At 51.4% G+C, this 21,142-nt stretch overlaps 1 protein-coding gene across 9 annotated transcripts in view, besides 4 other annotated features; it reads left to right on the top strand.

Annotated features, from left to right (window-relative positions):
* The window catches only part of IP6K3 (inositol hexakisphosphate kinase 3), a 40,484-nt gene extending 25,573 nt beyond the window's left edge, over positions 1-14,911 (top strand). For 7 of the 9 annotated variants that reach the window (XM_024446324.2, XM_024446325.2, XM_047418168.1 and 4 more), the window contains 5 exons: positions 918-1,295; positions 8,273-8,486; positions 9,667-9,842; positions 10,957-11,132; positions 13,386-14,911. In XM_024446324.2, the coding sequence (XP_024302092.1) occupies positions 1,097-1,295; positions 8,273-8,486; positions 9,667-9,842; positions 10,957-11,132; positions 13,386-13,853 (1,233 nt within the window). In that variant the 5' untranslated portion in view covers positions 918-1,096 and the 3' untranslated portion in view covers positions 13,854-14,911. Of the gene's footprint in view, positions 1-917; positions 1,296-8,272; positions 8,737-9,666; positions 9,843-10,956; positions 11,133-12,239 lie in introns of those variants that run through there. The other 2 variants (XM_011514295.4, XM_005248843.5) reach the window with 2 other exon arrangements.
* Positions 691-945: a silencer, noted in NCBI's record as "fragment chr6:33703405-33703659 (GRCh37/hg19 assembly coordinates)". NCBI's record gives its function as "represses an EF-1alpha promoter that drives an FKBP-Casp9 reporter gene in an ReSE screen in HepG2 liver carcinoma cells {active_cell/tissue: HepG2}" and the evidence as "EXISTENCE:reporter gene assay evidence [ECO:0000049][PMID:32094911]".
* Positions 7,362-8,140: an enhancer, noted in NCBI's record as "H3K4me1 hESC enhancer chr6:33696210-33696988 (GRCh37/hg19 assembly coordinates)". NCBI's record gives its function as "activates a minimal SCP1, AML or CMV promoter by ChIP-STARR-seq in primed H9 embryonic stem cells {active_cell/tissue: H9 hESC(primed)}" and the evidence as "EXISTENCE:reporter gene assay evidence [ECO:0000049][PMID:30033119]".
* Positions 8,141-8,920: an enhancer, noted in NCBI's record as "H3K4me1 hESC enhancer chr6:33695430-33696209 (GRCh37/hg19 assembly coordinates)". NCBI's record gives its function as "activates a minimal SCP1, AML or CMV promoter by ChIP-STARR-seq in primed H9 embryonic stem cells {active_cell/tissue: H9 hESC(primed)}" and the evidence as "EXISTENCE:reporter gene assay evidence [ECO:0000049][PMID:30033119]".
* Positions 11,326-12,076: an enhancer, noted in NCBI's record as "NANOG-H3K4me1 hESC enhancer chr6:33692274-33693024 (GRCh37/hg19 assembly coordinates)". NCBI's record gives its function as "activates a minimal SCP1, AML or CMV promoter by ChIP-STARR-seq in naive H9 embryonic stem cells {active_cell/tissue: H9 hESC(naive)}" and the evidence as "EXISTENCE:reporter gene assay evidence [ECO:0000049][PMID:30033119]".

The raw sequence follows: 21,142 nt of genomic DNA, 5'->3' as shown, positions 1-21,142 counted from the left end.
ATTAGCCGGATGTGGTGGCAGGCGCCTGTAATCCCAGCTGCTCGGGAGCCTGAGGCAGGAGAATCGCTTGAACCCGGGAGGCAAAAGTTGCAGTGAGCCGAGATCACACCACTGCACTCCAGCCTGGGCAACAGAGTGAGACTCTGTCTCTAAATAAATAAATAAATAAAGCAAGCAAGCAAGCACTCCCGTACCCATAATCCCCTGCAGGACAGTGAGAGCCCCAGCAGCAGTGGCTCAGCTTGCTTCTTGTTGGGCCTGGGATGAGTGTTCCAGATGAAGGCAGGCAACATGTCAGGTGAAGTTAAGATACAGTCTCTGCACTCTAGAAGCTTAGTATGTTGCTTGAATTTTTAAAATGTTTTAATATTTAAATTCAAAAAGTACAAAACATTATTTAAAGTCTCTGGCTGGGCACAGTGGCTCACGCCTATAATCCTAGCACTTGGGAGGCCAAGGTGGGTGGATCACTTGAGCTCAGGAGTTTGAGACCAGCCCAGGCAACATGGTGAGACCCCGTTTCTACAAAAAATATAAAATTAGTTGGGCATGCTGGCACACACCTGTAGTCCCAGCTACTTGGAGGCTGAGGTGGGAGGATCATTTGAGCCCAGGAGGTCAAGCCTGCAGTGAGCCAAGATCATGCCACTGCACTCCAGCCTGGGCGACAGAGCAAGACCACATCTTAAATAAATAAATAAGTCTCCTTCTCATCCCTGCTCCATGGAGGCAACCACTGTAACTGGTTTCTCATGACAGATTATTCCAGAAGTAATCAATGGATATTTACAGTCCTGTTTAAGGTACCAGTGAGGAACCTGTTCTGGGGTCGAGGCTGTGTGGGCCCTTCCAAGCGCTGCCCTGCCCCAGCCACCACCTCCCTCATATAACTTCCTCCTTCCTCCCCTGCTTTCCAGAGGACCCCGCTGAGAACCCACAGACAGGAGGACAACTGCGCTATGACAGCAATAAAGGCCAAGAAGGAGAAAGTTGAGGACCGCTGACAGCCCCGTGTGCTGTTGGGAGCTGCCCTTTCTACTTCAAACCTTCCTCTAGCAGACTGTGCAGGGACCCCCCACCACCACCATCTGCCGCCATGGTTGTGCAAAACAGCGCAGACGCCGGGGACATGAGGGCAGGCGTGCAGCTGGAGCCCTTCCTGCACCAGGTCGGGGGGCACATGAGCGTGATGAAGTATGACGAGCATACGGTGTGCAAGCCCCTCGTCTCCCGGGAGCAGAGGTTCTATGAATCCCTGCCGCTGGCCATGAAGCGGTTCACCCCACAGTACAAAGGTGAGTGTCTAGGCAGCCAGGCCACGTCTGGGTGCTGCCACACGGGGGCCGGCTCATCCAATGCACCCACCACGTCCTCCTGTGGTGTGGGTGTGTGTAAGGGTTGCCACAGAGACGCGCCCCTCTCCCAGCGGGGCTGGCCTTCTCTGTCCTAGTTTCTCTGAACTCTTCAAGCCTCCAGGTCTGGAGTGTAATGCCGTTTGGTTTCCTTATAAATTAGCTCAAGTCACCAGGCTTTGAGGGATGGAGAGAATAAAACAACACCCTGGTCCCACCCAGTCTCCAAGGCGGCATTCTGGTCTGTGCCTTCCCGGTGCCATAGCCAGCCATCTCATGCTGGCTGTAAACACAGGGCAAAATGGGGCCTCCTTAACCTCCCTCTGAAAGCCAAGGAGGATGGCGGGACCCTCAGGCCTGGGACAGGGCTTGGGATGCTGCGATGTGGCTTGCTTGGGAAGCCAGAACTCCCGCCCTCACCCAGGAAGAGGCAAAGCCAGGGATACGGGCTGCCGCTTGCGTGTAGCTGGGAAACTTCTGCATGGGGCAGCATGTGTCTTGGATCTGAGCACAAGGTGGGTTCTGGGGAAAGAAAGTGGGTGGGGAGGGTGCTGCCTGCTGGCCTTCAGGCAGGGGTCGGGCTCCCCAGGACAGGCTGATTTGTCCACACCCAGCCTTCTGAAAGTGAGGCTCAAAGGGCTCAGCCACACTCTGCCAGGCAGCCGGCCCAGCAGTGAGGTGAGTGCTCAGAGAAATAACCTCTTTAGAGGACGGTAGACCCCATGACTGCAAGCTGCTGCCCTCATTGTCAAAGTATTGGTGGTGAAGGTGACAATAATATCCAAATAAGTCAGTCAAAAACACATTTGCATTTCAATGATTAAGATAACTGGGAAGGATGGGGCCTGGTGTTTCTCAAGTGCAATCTGGCCTGGGAAACCCACTTTACTAGAATCCGGCGTGTATGTGCACAAAGGCGCACAGGTCCCCACGCCCCATGCCAGACCTGTGAATCAGAATCCCCTGGGGTCTTGGGGTGAGGGTCAGGAATTCTCTTTTTTTTTTTTTTTTTTTTTTGAGACGGAGTTTCGGTCTTGTTGCCCAGGCTGGAGTGCAATGGCGCGATCTTGGCTCATTGCAACTTCCGCCTCCCAGGTTCAAGCGATTCTCCTGCCTCAGCCTCCGGAGTAACTGGGATTACAGGCGCCTGCCACCATGCTCGGCCAATTTTTGTATTTTTAGTAGAGACGGGGTTTCTCCATGGTGGTCAGGCTGGTCTCGAACTCCCAACCTCAGGTGATCCACCCACCTCAGCCTCCCAAAGTGTTGGGATTACAGGCGTGAGCCACTGCGCCCAGCCAGGAATTCTTATTTAACACGGTCCAGACCTAATGCCGGTAGGGGGACCAGGGCCTGGAGCCTTGAGCATTGCTTCCAAGCACTGTTTCACACATGCCTGGATTCCAGGCCAGCCTGCCAGGACCTCCTGAGAGTCTAAGACAAGACCGATCAGCGTCACACACGGAGAGACAGGGGAAGATGGTCCATGGGCTGCCTGTGTGGGCCTCCCTCTCCCTGGGGTCTTCCCGGCCCGCAGGCTGGTGTTGCCTGGCTGGTTGTGGGGTCACTTCCCATCTTGTCAGAGCACCCACTGGAATTAATGTCTGTTCCTTCACAACTAAACTTAGCCCAGCAGAGGGGTGGCAGGATCATGTGTGGGGCGGCCTCCTGCCAGCACCATTTCACGCTTGCTCCACACAGCTCTGGGGCTGAGATGGATGCCGGGCAGCCGCAGGCTAAGTGGGAGAGGCAGAGAGGCTGGCCTGGCCTTCAGGAGGCTGTCCTCATCCCCTCCTCTGCTCCCCATCTGCAACGGCCATGAGCCAGTGTGGGTAGGAGGGCCCCACTCTCAGTGCCCTTGAGCACTGATCTCTGTTCAGGCCTCTGCTCCACCCTGCTTTCCCCTTCAGGTCAGCCCCATCCCAGGGCCAGCCCCCTTGGGGCTCTGCTAACTCAGTACATTAATTTGAGCCAAGGCGTCAGAGCTAATTGTATCCATAGCTACAGGGGATGCCTCAGCATCTGCCTTCAGGCTTCACACAGGAGATGATGTTTCTATATAAGCCAGGAGGGACCTGGGTCAGGGCACCCCCTGACACCCTTCAGAAACCACCTAGCCGGCCACCTACTCTGCCTGCAGGTGGAGGCAGACAGAGCCCGTGGGCTGAAGTTTTGATGAAGCAGAAATGCTGATTCACTCACTGACCAGAACACGACTCACACAGGGCCACTGCCCAAGCACTAACTAATGAAATATGCACATTTAAGAAGACTCTAGGAAAAGGCCCAGAACCAGGACTCAGGTGCTCAGATGCCTGGGGTAGGGGAAGGAGGACAGGTGGCTGAGGTCTGCTCGTAGATGGGAAGAGTCCCTGAAAGGGCTCTCGGGTGGTGTAGGCTGCTGCTAAGCAAAGCCACATCTGCTAAACCTCCGTGTCTGCTGTGCCTGACACAACTATAAGCAGCTTCCGTGCACTAATTCACACAATCCTCGCAGCACACTGAGGCAGGGACCTTTATCCGCCCTGTCATAGATGAGGAAGCTGAGGCACAGAGAGGTTACCTGGCATGCCTGAGGCCAACACGGACACTGAGAGGCAGAGCCAGGATTCCAAGCCCTGAGGTCTGGCTCCTGACTGTGGGCTCTTGGCCACATGGGCCAGCTCCACTCAGCTACACTGTTACTAAAGGGGTGGACTCGGGTGTCAGTGTTCAGGGGTCATCTAGCCCAAGGAGGGAGGGGGCGTGACTTGCCCAGGGTCATTCAGCTAGGACCTCAGGTCAGGGGCACTTGAATCCCCACAAGGCTGCCACAAGGGTCTCCTTTTTCTCCCCTATAGGAACAGCCCCCACTGAGAGGGGCCATTTCTGAAGTGGCCACCACATGCCACAGAGTGCATGTTCTCCCTTCTCGCCACCCTGCGCCACGATGGCATCAGGGAGGATGATGGGCAGGGATGCCACTCCAGAGGGCAGCCTCTTGGGTCAGAGTTCGCCTGGGACCTTTGCTGGGCTCCGCAGGCATGATGGTGCCCTGGGGCTGCATCCCTCTCCTGCCAGGCTGCCGGCCAGCACTGGGGAATGAGGACATACTCGTAAGTCCAGTTGGTTAACAATTGACCCGATTCATATTACAGATGGCAGCAAGTAAATGCTCTCATAAACTTAAAAATAAATACATGATAGAATATTCACGGAGGCTCAGGAAGCTACTCGGCCAAACCAAAAGTGCTGAGATGCTCTGGGCATGCCAGTTGTGGCAGTAAGCTCTCTTGTCTGTCCAGCTGGCATGGTCTCGGGTTGAGATGCATGGGGAGGGCTGGGCAGGCAGGAAGACTCTGGCTGGGTCCCACACTCTCCTGGTCAGGAGAGCTCTGGGAACCCGTGGGCCTCCAAGGCCTTGTCCCCACAGACACACAGGGCAAGCTGGAGACCAGGCTGGAGCTTGCATGGCTCTTGAACAGGTCAAGCACCGAGAAGCCTGGATTCCACTGGCATGCTGCTCTGCCAAGGGCAGGCAACTGGAGACTGTTTTTAAGGGGGCTATCTACTTGGGGTCCCCGACTTCAGAGGGAAGGGCTGCGCTGAGCCACAGAGGGTGTGACAGGGAAAGACAGACAAGAGCTGGAGACAGACACAGCCCGTCAGAGGCACGCAGAAAGACAGAGAGGCAGAGATGCAGAGCCTGGCTGTGTAACTCTGACAATATGAGAAATGGAAATGACTTTTGGATTTTATTGGTTTTGGGTTATTTGCACCTCTGCTCTCCTCCATTTACTCAGACACTCAGAACTGATGAGATCAGACAAGTACTGGAGCCTGGAGGAGTGGGTGAAGGTCACGCTTCCTGTCCCTCCAGGGAGACCTCCTGGGCCTGGGGCTCCCAAGACTGTGGTTTCTGGCAGACCTGTCACCATAGCCTCACGTGTGGCAGGGCCAGGGTCACGTGTGGCAGGGCCAGGGGAGTGCTGGAGGGCAGCTTGAATTTTCCAAGACCCAAAAGGGCCCTGCACAGGACCGGCACACCAGGCTCCCCAGGCAGCTAGGAGGCCTCGGGGTTCCCCAGGAACTGCACGAGGCTGCTGGCTCTCTCCCCTTCTCGCACCTGGAAAGATGGGCTTGGGACAGTCATTGGTTTCTGAAAGGTCAGTTCTCCTCCCTAGAACAAAGCACTCCAATCCTCCTTCCCCAAGACACAGGCCTGGAAATGTAAACACCATCTCCTTGCAGCCTGGGCTCCCAGCCCTCAGCGCTGACGACCCTCCCTGAGGGGAGGGAATCACAGCGTCTCTGTTCTCTCCTATGGAACAGAATGACCAGAACAAACATGACAGGGGACACAGCAGGAATGTCCCTAATGCAAACTTGGGGTAAACAGCGTGACAACACCAGACCTTCTGGAACAGCCTGTCCTTTCCTCCATCCCCACGTCTGGCATGGCCCTCCCAGAGCTCCACCCCACACCGACCATGTGACCTTGGGCAGATTATCCCATCTCTCCGAGCCTAGGCGCCCACCGTCAAAACCCTTACAGGCGTACTGTGACTTAGTGGTAGCAAGGGAAAAGCAGCAACATGCCACCCAGCAGGTGGAAGACAGGGTGGCTATGATGCTCTGTGATTCCTTCCTCAACCTGCCGTCAGCCCCTGTCTCACGAGCAGGACAGCGACAGTGGGCTTGGCCTAGGGGTGGACGCTAGTGGCAGGTGAATGGTAAAATGCCAGGTTCAGGGACAGCGTTATCATTATCATCATGATGACTTCACAGGACACGGGAGCCTGGGATGGTGTGAGGAAAGGCAGCACCTTTTAGGAGATGGAGAGAACTGAATGTCACTCTCAGGCTGCAAAATTAGGGCACTGGGAATCTGAGATGACAGGACTGGCCCAGGGAGACCGCTCAGCTAGGCACAGGCAGCTCTGGAGAGTGACTTGCTAAATTATAGAGCAGCCCTGATAACGAGTGTCCACGCTGACCAGCCCAGGAGGGCCCGGCAGGCATGCAAGCCGAGAGATGAGCCGCCTTCACGGCTGGCTCAGCAGAAATTGCCACTTACTCTGAGAAGGTGACCACGTGGCTGGGGGGAGAAATAAACAGCTTGAAGGACATAAAAACATGCGGCCTACCCTCTTTCGGTCAGGGCCCAGCAGAAAACAAAAGGCACACTCAAAGGAGATTAAATGAAGACAACCTTAAAAAGGAACTGTTTGGCAGGGCACGGTGGCTCACACCTGCAATCCCAGCACTTTGGGAGGCCAGGGTGGGTGGATCACAAGGTCAGGAGTTCGACACCAGCCTAGCCAAGATGATGAAACCCCGTCTCTACTAAAAATACAAAAATTAGCCGGGTGCAGTGGCGGGCACCTGTAATCCAAGCTACTCGGAAGGCTGAGGCAAGAGAACTGCTTGAACCCGGGAGGCGGAGGTTGCAGTGAGCCGAGATTGCGCCACTGCACTCCAGCCTGGGCAACAGAGCGAGACTCCATCTCAAAAAAAAAAAGAAAGAAAGAAAGAAAAAAGGAACTGTTTGCAGAAATATATGCAGGATTCAGGGGTACAACCAGGGACTGGGGGGACCCAGGGACCAGCAACACTGGAAAGCTGTCACCACCCCAGGCCAGGAGGGCCACAGAGGAACACAGCAGGGTATGAACATGGTGAAGAGGGGTGGGAACCAGTGGAATAAACGCCCATCCTTTCTCCTCCCACCCTCCCATCTCCTGCCAGTGCCCCCCACTGGGCAAATCCACTGGGAAACTAGAGGGCAAGGGAGCCACTGGTATACTCCATCAGGTCACTCCTTCAGCATAAAGCAGGACAGAGGGGGTGCAGAGTGGGCTGCTGAGGGCAGGCACAGAGAGGGTGAGCGCATTAGGAGAGAGGACATGTATTCTCACCTCCACTTCTCCCAAAACCACAAGGGTGGCCATCTCCTGTGCTACTACCAAGACTCTGGCGAGGCCAGGCACCACTGGAGGCCAAGCTCCACGGAGGAAGGCCTGGGTTCTGCCACCACCAGAGGAAGGACGCTAAAGGGTGGCTACAGAGCTGCTAATGTGCCTGCCACAGCTAATTACTCAAGCCCGACCAATGTCCAGGAGAACACCCCTTAGTATGTAGGGTAAGGGCGTTTCAGATACTCTTCACTTTCACAACCAGTGTTTTTTTGTGCCTCAATGACCAACACCGATGGTAGGATGTACCACAGTTGGGGAAATCTCACAAGGCTTGTTTCATCAAAGAACCATGTTCCACCAATAATCTTCATGTGTGGATGCATCTAACCAGAGGAAATGGCAGGCCATCAGCTCAAGGGCAGACAGACGGGGGAGGGCAAGTGAAGGGGCAAAGGGGAGCCCTGAGCCCTGGAAGGCTGTGAGAGGAAGCCTTCCTGGAAGAAGCAGGTCCGATAAAGACACGTGGGAGGGAGAAGAAGGGTGCTCAGGAGGCAGAGGGCACGGAGGAGGGATGGGATGGGCCCAACTTCCCTCACTGGCACTCTGAGGTGGGCGGCCCCTTCGCAGAGGACCAGCTCCAATGCCCCCAGGTCAGGCAGAGCTGGGTTGGCTGTGGTGTGACTGGGAGGTGTGACTGCGCACAGAGGAACTGGAACGCAAGGACAAAATGTGCGGAGTTGACTTTGTTGAAAGCGCAAAGAGGCAGGGAAGTGCGATAAAGCAGAGGATGTGCCAAGATCAGCCCAAGGCTATTTTCTCCAAGCTCCAGGGCTCATTCTGGGACAGGATCGGTTCAGGCAAAACCAGGCCAGTCCCATAGCTCTTCCTTGAGAGAGGAGCTGGGGAACGGAGGAGGTGGACCAGGGCCATTAAGCTAAATTCCCAACTCGTCATCACTCCTGCATGTCCGTGTGGAGGCTCTCTCAACTGGCTCCTCCCCTCCCCTTCCCTGTGTGTTTGCAGGTACCGTCACAGTGCACCTCTGGAAAGACAGCACAGGCCATCTCAGCTTGGTTGCCAACCCAGTGAAGGAGAGCCAGGAGCCCTTCAAGGTCTCCACAGAGTCGGCGGCGGTGGCCATATGGCAGACGCTCCAGCAGACCACCGGCAGCAATGGCAGCGACTGCACCCTTGCCCAGTGGCCGCATGCCCAGCTGGCACGCTCACCCAAGGAGAGGTGAGGGCACTGGGCAGGATGACAGAAACCCTGTCCCTCGGCAGGGACCGGCACTGCTCCCACCTGTGCCCAAGGCCAACCACTCCCTATTAAGGCTGGTGCTGAGAAAAAGAAATTCAGATGAATGCTCTGTCTAGAATAACCAATGTGACCAAAGAAAGGAATGGATTTTCTTTATGTCACTCCTAGAAGGGAGGATTACGATGCATTTTATCCCAGAAGTTGATGCACAGGCAGAGTTGTCTACTGAGTAGGTATTCAGTACATATTTGTTTAATTAAATATCTGTTTCACTGAGACCATGAAGTGTCTCTGGGGAGGAAGTACACAAAACAGAAACCCTAGAATAGTGTATGTAGAGGAAAAGTGTGGCTAATTGCTCTCAGAAATCACCTCTTTCCCTAGCAGTTGGAAGGGGCCAGGAGGGAGGTCAATGTGGTGCTCAGAGGGTCCCTGGAGATGCAGGAGGCTCAGGTGCCTGAGGTCCCTATCAAAAACCTTTGACAATGTCAGCTGACCTTTCTCAGGTGAAAAGGCTCCCCACGGCTTTTTAAAACATTTATGGGAAACAAAAGGGAGCTAATACAATGAAAATATCTCCCTTCCCAAGGAGTGCTGCAGATCTCATTAAGCCTCTGGGCTTGGAGTCAGGAAGCAGGAGCATTATCTCCATTTCACAGATGGTGACGCCAAGATGCCAAGAGGGCAGGAGAAGAGGGCCGGCCGCTGTCCACGCTCACCACAGCTCCCACCCCACTCCTGTGCCCTTCTGAGGTCTCAGGGAGGTGACGGCCTGCCTGCTGGATTGTCAGAGTCCAACCCCAGGCTTGTGATTCCGGATAGGGCCACTGCCCCCTTAGTGTGTCGCCTCAATAATAAGGCCATTAATAATCCAGATCACTTACAAGTGAGTTTAAATCACCTCAGCCCTCTAAGGGGGCAACATGTTCTAATAAGTTCTCCAGGGTTTGGAGAAGCCCCTTGAGGGCTGCAGTGTGGTGAAATCTGGCCCTAGAACCGGAGTTGGGCAGGGAGGGTGCCCCAGCCTGGTGAGGGCTGCCCTGGAGAGCAGCTGGGACCACCCTTTCAGAGCCCATCTCAGAGAGCCCAGTCAGCCACAGGCAGCGGCGCCCTTCCCCAGACCTCTGCTCTGACCGTCCTGTGCTCCACTCCGCCGCAGCCCGGCCAAGGCTCTTCTGAGGTCCGAGCCCCACCTCAACACTCCAGCCTTCTCGCTGGTGGAAGACACCAACGGAAACCAGGTTGAGAGGAAGAGCTTCAACCCGTGGGGCCTGCAATGCCACCAGGCCCACCTGACCCGCCTGTGCTCCGAGTACCCAGAGAACAAGCGGCATCGTATCCTTGCCATCCCCCTCACATGTGGTCCCAAGGGCGGGGCGACAGAGAGACACAGAGGGGCAGAGGTGGGTAGAGGAAACACACACAAACACGGGGCCAATGGAGGGTAGCAGGGAGAGACAGATGTGAGGGATAGCTGGAAGGCACAAGCCCTCAAACCCGGGTCCTAGAAGAAATCAGGTGCCTCCAAAAGAACAGCTAGACAGTATGGGGAAGGCAGATGGAATTATACTGAGCGCAGTGCCCTGGGGGGGCCCTGGCTGTGTCTTTGCTACTTGGCAGTAAAGATGGGTTGGGATGGGCATGTCTGTGGTTAGACAGGAATAAGGAATGCCATGTTGCGTGGGGGCAGCAGGGGGCTCAGAAAGCTGGATGGGCCCCCAGCCCCAACCTCCCTTCCATCCCTCCAAATTCTCCCTGCAGGCGTCTTCCCATGGGGCCCACACAGTGAGAGGGAAGTGTGGCTCCTCCCTTAGTGGAGCACCCATGGGGTAGACTATGGGAGGAGGTAAGTCCCCCTCCCCTACAGAGTTTTCAGGAAGAAAATTTAGGTTTGAAATACCCCTTCATCACCACTGCTCTGCTCCTTCCTGCAAATGGGTGGCTGGTTTCATAGTATTTACCAAGACACATCTGCAATCCTAATCCCTAAGAAGCTTTTGCAGGATAATTACTCCACTGAAATTAATATTCCTGCAACTCATCTCCAAAGCTAACATCAACCCACTTCTCCCAAAAGGTATTGGTCCATTCAGCAGGACTGAAGGTTTTAGCCTTATGATTTTCTGCCGTAAAATGTAAATTGGGCATGGCCTGCTAGGGATTTCACACTTGCGTTTAAATTTCAACCTCGGAGCAAAATGTAAAAGGAAAAAAAAGCTCACATACTCATAAACTCCCCCTAAATAAATGGACTTATTAAAGCAGCCTGCAAAGCTAATACTTCAAATTCTTAATAGCAAGGATGAGCTTGTCTGTAAGGAAGGCAATGGGAGTGAAGAATGGTGCCCAGAATAGGGAATTTCCAGGCAGCTTCTGAGGCATGCAAACGACCTCTGGCGGAGCAGCAGTTCTGAAGTCCTCAGAGCCTTCCTTAACTTAGTGTGACTAGGGTTCTTGTTGCTGGAAAATGTAGTGTCACAGTACACGCATCCCTGTGTCCTGGATCTGAAGATGGGGACCCGGCAGCACGGCGATGATGCATCGGAGGAGAAGAAGGCCCGCCACATGAGGAAGTGTGCGCAGAGCACCTCAGCCTGCCTGGGTGTGCGCATCTGCGGCATGCAGGTAGGTCGCAGGGGACCCACCACAGGGGGGGACATCCCGGCACGTCCACGGTGGGGCAAGGATATCTCCCATCCAGATGCCACTGCCCCCCTGCAGAGCCCTTCACTCTGGAGGAGCCACAGAGGAGGCCAGGAGCCTCCAACAAGGAAATGCATACCCTGGTCTATGACACACTGGAAATTTTCTTTTTTCTATTTTTTTTTTTTTTTTTTGAGACGGAGTCTTGCTCTGTCGCCCAGGCTGGAGTGCAGTGGCACAATCTCAGCTCACTGCAACCTCCGCCTCCCGGGTTCATGCCATTCTCCTGCCTCAGCCTCCCGAGTAGCTGGGACTACAGGTGCCCACCCCCACGCCTGGCTAATTTTTTGTGTTTTCAGTAGAGATGGGGTTTCACCGTGGTCTCGATCTCCTGACCTCGTGATCTGCCCGCCTTGGCCTCCCAAAGTGCTGGGACTACAGGTGTGAGCCACTGCGCCCGGCCCACACTGGATCTTTCCAAAAGCACCCTTCAGAATAGTGATGTCAAAAACCATCACATTTGAACTTTGTCTCACAATCTTTGGCAGCCGAAACTTTCCACAGTGGCCATGTGGCTCCTGCTCATGTTGTGAGCAGACCTTTGATGCAGTGTGTGAGGCTGGGCTGGGGTAAGGACTAAGAGAAAGGGCTTCTTGGTGCACCCCGTGGCTTCCTGAGTCCTCCTTCTCTTGAATGATAAAGCTGAATTCTCTCCTTCTTAGATGCTGTATGGCAGTCAGCTCTTTAAATTTCTATTAGCCATTTCCCCTTCTTAATCCACCTTTTCTGCTCCTTTTTGCTACCAGTTCTGGTTAATAAAGTGGGAAGCTCATAACCTGCTAACCCTGCAAAGGAATGGTTATTTTCTATAACTCAGACTCCACGCCTCCTTTTTGGGGCTCTGATGTGGCTTATGACAGGGGCTGCAGGAGAACAGGATAAAATAAACTTCCTCTACTCGTTCCCTCTTATAGTCTGTCTGCTCAAAGCAAAACCAGACACTGATTTGACGGTAAACGTTATAGCTTTTCTTAATTGAAACCGCCACCCCTTGAAGCTGGAAGTTGAGTCTATAAATTTGTTGCACAGATGTCCTTTGGAAAGCCGGGAATGTAGTCCTCAAGAGAATGGAGTGTGATGATTTGTGGTGTAAATGGAATCTCTCTCTGGACCTCAAATCTTCTGAAATTGATCTGATTTATTTAGAAAGTGATGCCTGTCAGGTATTTTTGACGGCTGATTTAGCAGCCAATCTGCAGCCCTCCAAAGGCAACACTAAGGCTATCATATCTTTCCGATTTTTTTCAACACTGGTTTTCTATGAACATATCATGTAATCTGAAGGCAGGAAAGACCTGAGAAACTGTCTTGGCCAGGCACAGGCTGCCCCTTCTAGGTATGCCAGGCAGAGGGGTGCCACCCCCCCCCGGCCATGCCCACTGCTGGCCTTAGTTCAGCCTCAGCTGCTGCCTGTGCCATCTGAATGAAATGGGGGTTGCTGCCACTGTCCCCCATCAGTATCTCTCTTCCATCTGCTCCCTTCTGGTGGCCAAGACACAACAGGGGAGGGGAGGAGAGATGGTGCCAAGGAGAGGAGCCACCAGCCCCACAGAGCTGCCATGAACCTCCCTCCTCCACCAGGCTCCCCTCAACTGCACTGGCTGCCTAGAAACCCTGTCCACACCTGACCTAGCCTGTCTTTTTATCTTCAAACAATTCACCCCACTCCACTTCAAGAGGCATTACTGTTGCCTTGGAATCTGCAGAGAAAGGACTTTATAAACTTTGCTGAGGAAATTTTAATCTAGTTGGCTTTCCAAGGCCATTGGCTGTGATTTCAGATTCCTATTAAAGCTTTCTAGCTTGGGTTTGCTAATATTTGAATTGAAGAGGGCCAGGAGCCAGGGCTTAAATCATGATTTGGAGGTTGACATTGGAAATTCACAAGAAAGAAGATCCAAACGTTTTCCTCGTGGGTGGAGGGTCACCTCTGTGGGGTGAAGGATCTTTAGACCTTGGATTACTATTAAAGACTTGCACAGAAAGCATTTTAAAATGTAAAAGCTACTCTGGCACTTGATGGAAGATCATCTTCTGCTCATTTCAGTCACTCTTGCCCTACATCTCCTAAAAATCTGTTCATATATTATCCCAGCTTATGATGCTGCAACCGTACCAGATACAATTTGTTTAAGTTTCCAATCTTCACATTTTCTTTATTCTTTTTAATGTAAGGTTTATCAAACAGATAAGAAGTACTTTCTCTGCAAAGACAAGTACTATGGAAGAAAACTCTCAGTGGAGGGGTTCAGACAAGCCCTCTATCAGTTCCTACATAATGGAAGCCACCTCCGGAGGGAGCTCCTGGAGCCCATCCTGCACCAGCTCCGGGCCCTCCTCTCTGTCATTAGGAGCCAGAGTTCATACCGCTTCTATTCCAGCTCTCTCCTTGTCATCTATGATGGGCAGGAACCACCAGAAAGAGCCCCAGGCAGCCCGCATCCTCACGAGGCTCCCCAGGCAGCCCACGGTAGCTCTCCCGGTGGTCTCACCAAGGTTGACATCCGCATGATTGACTTTGCTCATACCACATACAAGGGCTACTGGAATGAGCACACCACCTACGATGGACCAGACCCTGGCTATATTTTTGGCCTGGAAAACCTCATCAGGATCCTGCAGGATATCCAAGAGGGAGAATGAAACTTCCTGGGCTTATCTGGATTCTTCTGGGCTATAGATCTCAAATAGAGACCTGTTGGTTGCTAGGGTAGTCCAGACACCCCTTAGATGTCTTCATAATAGTCCTATCTACCTTCAAAAACCATCTCTATATATGGCAGACTATATTAACAGCTGCTGAACAAATCAGCTCTGGAGGTGATTCCACATCCCCTGGCATTATGCTCTAATGCTGCTCATCGGAGAACAGACAGCCAGGATAAAGTGGCACCTTCTGGAGTACACTGGAGGGGGCAGCCCAAGTTAGAGGCCAGCATTGCTGACATTCTGGAATATTTGCATCTAAAAATGTTTACTCGTTGCCATGCTGCAGTCCGCACAAGCTGTGAGGCAGAAAACTTGACTTGAAGCAGCCTTGAAGAGTGAGTTCATGAGCTCATGGTTTTTCTCCTTGTATGGACTGCTCGCTCCAAGGGCAGGCAGAGCTCATGAATGCCTCTTATCTTCCTAAGCGGAGTTTTAGGTGACACAGGATGAAGCAGAAGAGATCTACCCATCTCATCTGCTCTGCACCCAGCTTCTAAGTGGACAAAGCCAAGCCCAGGCATGAGCTCTGGCAAAGCAAGACCCCAGATTCTCCATTTTTGCCTGTGGAAAGGAGGGTCCCTTTACAGGCTTTTTTTTCCTTTTTTTCCCCCAAAATCTCTTAAAATGAGGAATCTCTTAGCAGACTTTGGAGTTCCCCATTCTGCCACATTCTGACCATGAGACGCGGCTTGCAGTGGGGGTGAACGCACATAAAAAGGGACCACTGACGTCCTGCTCTACTCTCTGCTTTCTATTTATTTATTTTGGGGGTGGGTTGGGGAGTCAGAAGAACCTGGAGGACGGAGGAAACCAGGGGCAATGTTTACAAGACTGGTGGACAAGTGTAAATATGGAATAAGAACAAACAGTTCTAATTAATTCCTTCTTCTGCAGTATGGAAACCTATTACGATGCCCTTGAGTCAAGCACTGAGATACGTTACCCAATTAGGGAAATAAATTTGTTAATAAAATTGCTGAGGTCACCAGTGATTATTGGTGTGCCTTATTACCCTTTCCATTTGTTTATTCTGATCACACTGTGTGGTAGTTCCAATTTATGAGCGACTAGCATATACCACAAGAACAGTTCACTGATTTCCTACAATCCTTCAGGGAACTCGGGTGGAAATGGTGGCTAATAAAATATTTGCATGTATCTGCAAGGGAGGCACCAGACCTGAGAAGTGGTCCTTTTATTTGAATCTCATACAATGTACAATTAAGTAATTTTTTTATTCTCATGGATAATTACTATCCACACTCCAAAATCCACACTAATAAAAAGAAAGAATGGACTGGATAATTAAAAAAACAAAAACAAAAAAAACAAAACAAAACCTTTTGTTTAATTTTAGAACATACTCTATGGGTTTCTAAGCAGGTTCACTTCCCAAATTATGTTTGGCCAAGGCAATGATGTGATTCATTTGCATGCTGTGTGCCCAAGGTGGGAGAGTTGAGTCAGAGCATGTTGGGCGACAAAAGGGAGTCAGCCTAAAACTAAATATTTGCTAATGACAAAACAGAGCCCTAAATACTGCCTTTTCCAGGCCAGTTCCTTGTTTGAGAATCTGGAACCACATCAACCAAGTCCAAACCCCCTGCTTAGCTTCTCATTTCTCCACCTGTTCTCAGCTCTCAGTGTGAGGGGACTTGCCCGAGGATGGCACAGAGATGATCAGCTGGAATCCAAGTCTTTGGGGGCTGGCCCACCCAGGTCATTAGCTGTGTCACAACTATTCTCTGTGGCTGGGGTCCCAATTCTTGCCCAGGTGATGCCCCCTCTCTCAGCTATTCCTTTACCCCATGGCACCCCTCATGTATGAGGCCTTCTTCTTCCTCCAAATCATTTGAGGCCCAGCCCATGTTCCCATCTCCTCCTAAATATGTCCCTAAAAAAAGTAATTTGTTGTTTAAAAAAAAAAAAGTTGGGGGAACAAAGTTGTCTACTGGTTTTAGCGCATTCTTACTGGACTAACAGACTCCGAGGGGTTGCTGTGATCTGAAAATTTGCGCATGACTCTGCAGATTCAGAAACTCAATGAATTTAGAAACTGAATGAGCCCACCCAGTTGCTCCAATCTGGGAAGCAGGAGAGGAGAAAGGCATGGAAAGAAGAGATGGTGGGGTGTGTATGTTTTTGGTCTCCAATCTGTGTTTACTTGAAAATGGCAAAAAGAGTGAGGGAGCCCTAAATAATCTGGCAGTCAGCAAGAGTACACTGAGCAGCTATTCCTTGCTCATCTCCCGGCTCATGCTGGAGAAGATGCAGCTCTTGGGGAGCCTGTATTCTAGATAGGGAGGCAAGAATAACACACATGAACTGACACAAACCATGCAAGACAGGACCAAGTGAGACAGAGGATCACCTGTGTGGGGCAGACGATCAACCCTATCATTTACAGTTGAAGATGTTCGTTCAGAACAGGGGCATCACTAACACTGTTGACGGAGGTGGAGCTCCATCTGAACCCTGAAGGGTGACAGGAGTGGAGAAGGGCTGGGCGATGGGTGAGGGGAGGGCGGGTGGAGAGTGGGGGAAAGGAAAAGTCCAGCATGCCCATGAGTCTGTAGACAGAACAACCCATTTGGAATGGGGGTTTTGTGGTTGGAAGTAGTAGAAGAGAAATGGAATGAGCCCAGATGGTGGAAACACTTGAAAATCTAGTCAAGTAGATCGTTCATTTGTGATGTCATTATTCTGTCCTTCTTTCCTTCTTTCCTTCCTGCCTTCCCTCCCTCCCTCCTTCCTTCTCACCAAGTATTTACTGAGTGTCTGGTACATACAACACAGTGCTAAGCCCTTGAAAATCTGGCTAAGTAGCTCATTCATTTGTTTGTGATTTCATTAATCAGTCCTCCCTCCCTCCCTCCCTCCCTGACTCCCTCCCTTCCTTCTTGAGTGCCCAGTACAAACAACACAGTGTTAAGGCCTATACAGGAAACAAGGAAGCGTGAGGATCATATCGTTATTGCTAGGAACCTCATAATTTAACAGAGGAGTCAGACCTCCTTATGAAAATCTCACGGGTGCTTCAAGAGGGGATGAGGACCATCTGCTCAGCTGTGCAGTGCTACCCAGAGAGGAGCGGCAGCGAGGGCTCACCGCCTCATGGGGTGATTGCGGAGGTGGTGTTTGAGCTGCAACTTGAAAGAGAGTCAAGTCTGAAACGTGATGAAGAGGGGCAGGTGTTCCAGGAAAAGTATCAACAAGTATGGGAAAGGGGAATCGAGCATTCTGCCCAGGGAATGGCAAGTAACGGTTTGGAGTGGCCACAAGGGGTTGATATACTTGGGCACTGAGAGATTAAGATGGAAATGGAGAAACCCCTGAACATGAAAACTAAAAAGGACCTCTGAAACTTCTACCTCTACGGCTCCCTCTTGTCTGGAAGACTGTAAGAGCCTCTCGGCTGGCTTCCCTTACCCAACTGGGTAAGGGAAGAGCCCTCTTCTTTTTTGAATCGAGGTACACAGGTATTAGTAATTACTAATTGAATAACTGAATTAGTAATACACAGGTATTAGTTGGAGTTAGGCTAACTGCTAACAAACAATCCCCAAGTATCAGCAGCATAATGTTACAATCCAATGTGGTTAGCGGAGAGCCCCCTGCTCCACACAGTCATTCAGGAACCCAGGTTCTTTCCATCATGTGACACCACCCTCTTCAAACACAATCTACAAGGCTGCTGTTGATGGGTAAAAGTCAGACAGCAGGGAGAAGGCACATCTACCTCCCATGGGCAAGAACTAGCCATGTGGCCCCACCCAGATGCCAGGGGGTCTGATGTGTCATATAATTAACTGTGTGCCTAAAAAGAGGAAATAGGTTTGATGAGAACCTCTTTCTCCATAAACCTCAAGTCAAGTTGATACCTGACCTAAGGAGAAACAAAGACATACAGAGCAAGTGGAGAGCGTGAGGGGATGGCAGGGGCCTGGCAGTGCCAGGGCTGCAGGTTCTGACCTAGATCCTTCCTCTGCCCATGTCCTCATACGGTTAGTGTGCTCCGAGTGCTGGTAGATCTCCTAAGCATCTCCCCTACCTCAGTTTCCTCTTCGGTCCCACGGGAACTCTAACTTGGTCCTCCAGATAGGAGATGTGGAAGAGCAAACATGGATCCTTCCCATCTCTGTGGAGCAGGGGCTCAGGGCAGCCTGGGAGATATTCATCCCCCACCGCCACCCCATCCCTCCAGTGTCCCCTGTGTGATTAAAGAGGAGGCTAAAGAGTGGAATGTTATTACAGCTTTTCCATAATGCAATGTCATCAGGAAGCCCTGGGCCTCTGGGCAGCACCCTGGCAGCCCCATCACTCTTCCCAGCTGCACAGAGCTTTTAAACCACGCAGGGAAGGGCAGGATGCAGTCTAATAAAACAAATGGCAAGGCAAGACCACTCATCAGCAGCTCTTCAAAATGATCTAAGCTGACTTTTGATTTAAATCTGCATCCTCTGTGGCCAAAAACATAAAACAGAAGATGAGGAAAAGAACTAAAATGAAAGTGTGCGGTGCCAAGATTTAGAGGGGAGGGAGGGAGGGGGAAAAGCAGCCTGGGACAACACTGAGTTGAGCGCCAGCCAGGCAGGCTGACTTGCAGCCAGGCTCGGGCCATTTTTATTATGCATCCTCAGAACTTCTCCCTTCCACTACTAGACTGCCCTGAAATGGGACAGAAAGTTTGAGAGTCAATCCCAGAGCAGACAGGCGCGGTGGCTTACATCTGTAATCTCGGCACTTTGGAAGGCCGAGGTGGGTGGATCACTTGAGGTCAGGAGTTCAAGACCAGCCTGGACAACATGGTGAAACCCCGTCTCTACTAAAAATAAAAAAACTGGCCGGCATGGTGATGCACGCCTGTAGTCCCAGCTACTCAGGCGGCTGAGGCAGGAGAACAGCTTGAACCCAGGAGACGGAGACTGCAGTGAGCTGAGATCACGCCACTGCACTCCAGCCTGGGTGAAAGAGTGAGACTCTGTCTTAAAAAAAAAAAAAAAAAAAAAAAAATCCCAGAGCAAAACCTGGAAATCTACCTGCTCCCAATTTCCCTTAGCCTTTCTCCCCCAGCCCTCGAAGATGGGCAACTTAAAGGGGAAGGGCTGAGGCTGGGGACAGGGTGGTGGGGGTGCCAGATGACCTGGGCTTATATTCTCAGGTCGTTCATTCTCTTCAGATTCTTTTACTCAACAAATATTTACAGATGAGTGGGTACCAGGCCCTGCTGTCAAACAGTGACCAGTGCTTTGAGGCAAAAGCAAACAAGAGAGAAGAGGCTGCTACTTTAGATGAGGGTCAGGAAACCTGCTCTCAGGTGACATCTACTACGGAACAGATGCAGAGAGGCAGCAGATCCCTGGGGCAGATGACAGGCATCTCAGCAGAACTGAGGGGCTTTGGATATATTCGGCTGCACTTCAGGTCCCCATTGAGCCTATCCCAGCACACCTCAAACACTTACATGTCTTTAAAAAAAGCTCACCTCCAGAATAAGGCAGCAGTCTATTACCAGAGTGACCCTTCCAGCTACCTTTAACAGGAGGCATGAAATGACTCACTATTCTGATGCAAGTCCAGACCCACTTTTTGGGTAACATATCTGGGTATTGCAGCCAATCGTTTCCTCCAGTTGAATAAGGTGAAAGAAGAAAACTCACGCAGTTGTGCTCCACAATGAAGCTAAGTATTTAATTCCTTTTTAATGTTTACATTATTAACACCAGCATTACAAAACGATATTTTTTACTTGCAAGCGATTTAAATGTGCAATTCGGTGTCTCGATTACTGGGATCATTATAACTTGAAAAACCGAAGAAGTGCTCCCTCCCTCCTCTCTCCTCCCCCTGATGGTGCCTAGTTTCTATAAAGAGCAATCAGCGTTCCATAAAGCCCAAATACCCATTCCAAATGACTTGGGAGGTGAGGCCCTGGTGGGGGTTTTCAATGAGGCATTCAGTGTGGAATGAGTGACAGCCGGCAGGTAGGTGTTAAAATGGTCATCAACTCCCCAAGGTGCTGGCACCACCCAGCTGCATTCCAGGCAGTGCCTATTAATGTGCTAGGAATGGCGCTGGGTGATTGACAAGCGGGTCAGTCCAGACTGGCTGAAACCATCTTCAGGCACAGGGAAAGGAAAAGGGCCTAGAAAATGATCAATAAGAGCCACTGCGATGTGTTGGCTTACTTTGTGCTGGCACTGGCCAAGGCTACACCAGGTGTATAAACACACCACGCACATGGTTTACGATGATAATGCTGCAAGGGGGCCTGAAGAGGTGCCTGAGGGAGTGGCCAAGAGCACGGCTCTGAGCCACCCAGCCTGGGCTCAAGTCCTGGCTCTGCCACTTACCAGCTGGTGACCTTATCCTCTCTGTGCCTCAGTTTCCTCAGTTTCTGTAAAAATGGCAGGATAACAGTAGTACATAAATCTGAGAGCCATTGTGAGGACTAAATGAGTCCATACATGTAAGGCATTTAGAATTGTGCCTGGGCTGGGCACAGTGGCTCATGCCTATAATCCCAACACTTTGGGAGGCCAAGCCCAGAGGATTACTTGAGTCCAGGATTCGAGATCAGCCTGGGCAACATAGCGAGACCCCATCTCCACAAAAAATAAAACAATTAACTGGGCATCGTGGTGGCCACCTGCAGTCCCAGCTACTCAGGAGGCTGAGGCTGAAGCAGGAAGATCGCTTGAGCCCAGGAATTCGAGGCTGCAGTGAGCTATGATTGTGCTCCTACACTCCAGCCTGGGTGACAGAGTGAGACCCTGTCTCTAAAAAAGAAAAAATAAAAATAAAAAATTAAAATAAAAAAAATTGTGCTGGCACATAGTAAATACTCGGTGTTAATTTATCATCATAGTTCTCATTTTAAGATGAAGAAACTGAAGCTTACAGCAATTAAATAACCCGCCTGGGGTTGGCTGCTCTGAAGACCTTTGCCTTTGCTGCCCTGTTCCTGGAAGCCTCTCATGCCCATCTTCCCGTGGCTGCCCCCTCAGGTGACTCACAAGCTGCTCAGGGATGGCCTCCAGACCACTGACCCCTCCCCTGCCCCAATCACTGTGGACCCAGCACTCTGCCTTGATCTCTCCTTCGCACTTATCACATCTGAAATTATCTTGTTCATTCAGCAAATGAGCTAATACATATAGAGCACTATTATTATTATATGTTTGCTTGGTTGCTGTCTGTCCTCATAGGGGCAGGGCCCTCAC

Source organism: Homo sapiens, chromosome 6 (assembly GCF_000001405.40).
Source record: "Homo sapiens chromosome 6, GRCh38.p14 Primary Assembly".
In the NCBI taxonomy this organism is placed as follows: Eukaryota; Metazoa; Chordata; class Mammalia; order Primates; family Hominidae; genus Homo; species Homo sapiens.
Note: the sequence above shows the minus strand (reverse complement) of the source record. Positions and strands in the feature narration are given on the sequence as shown.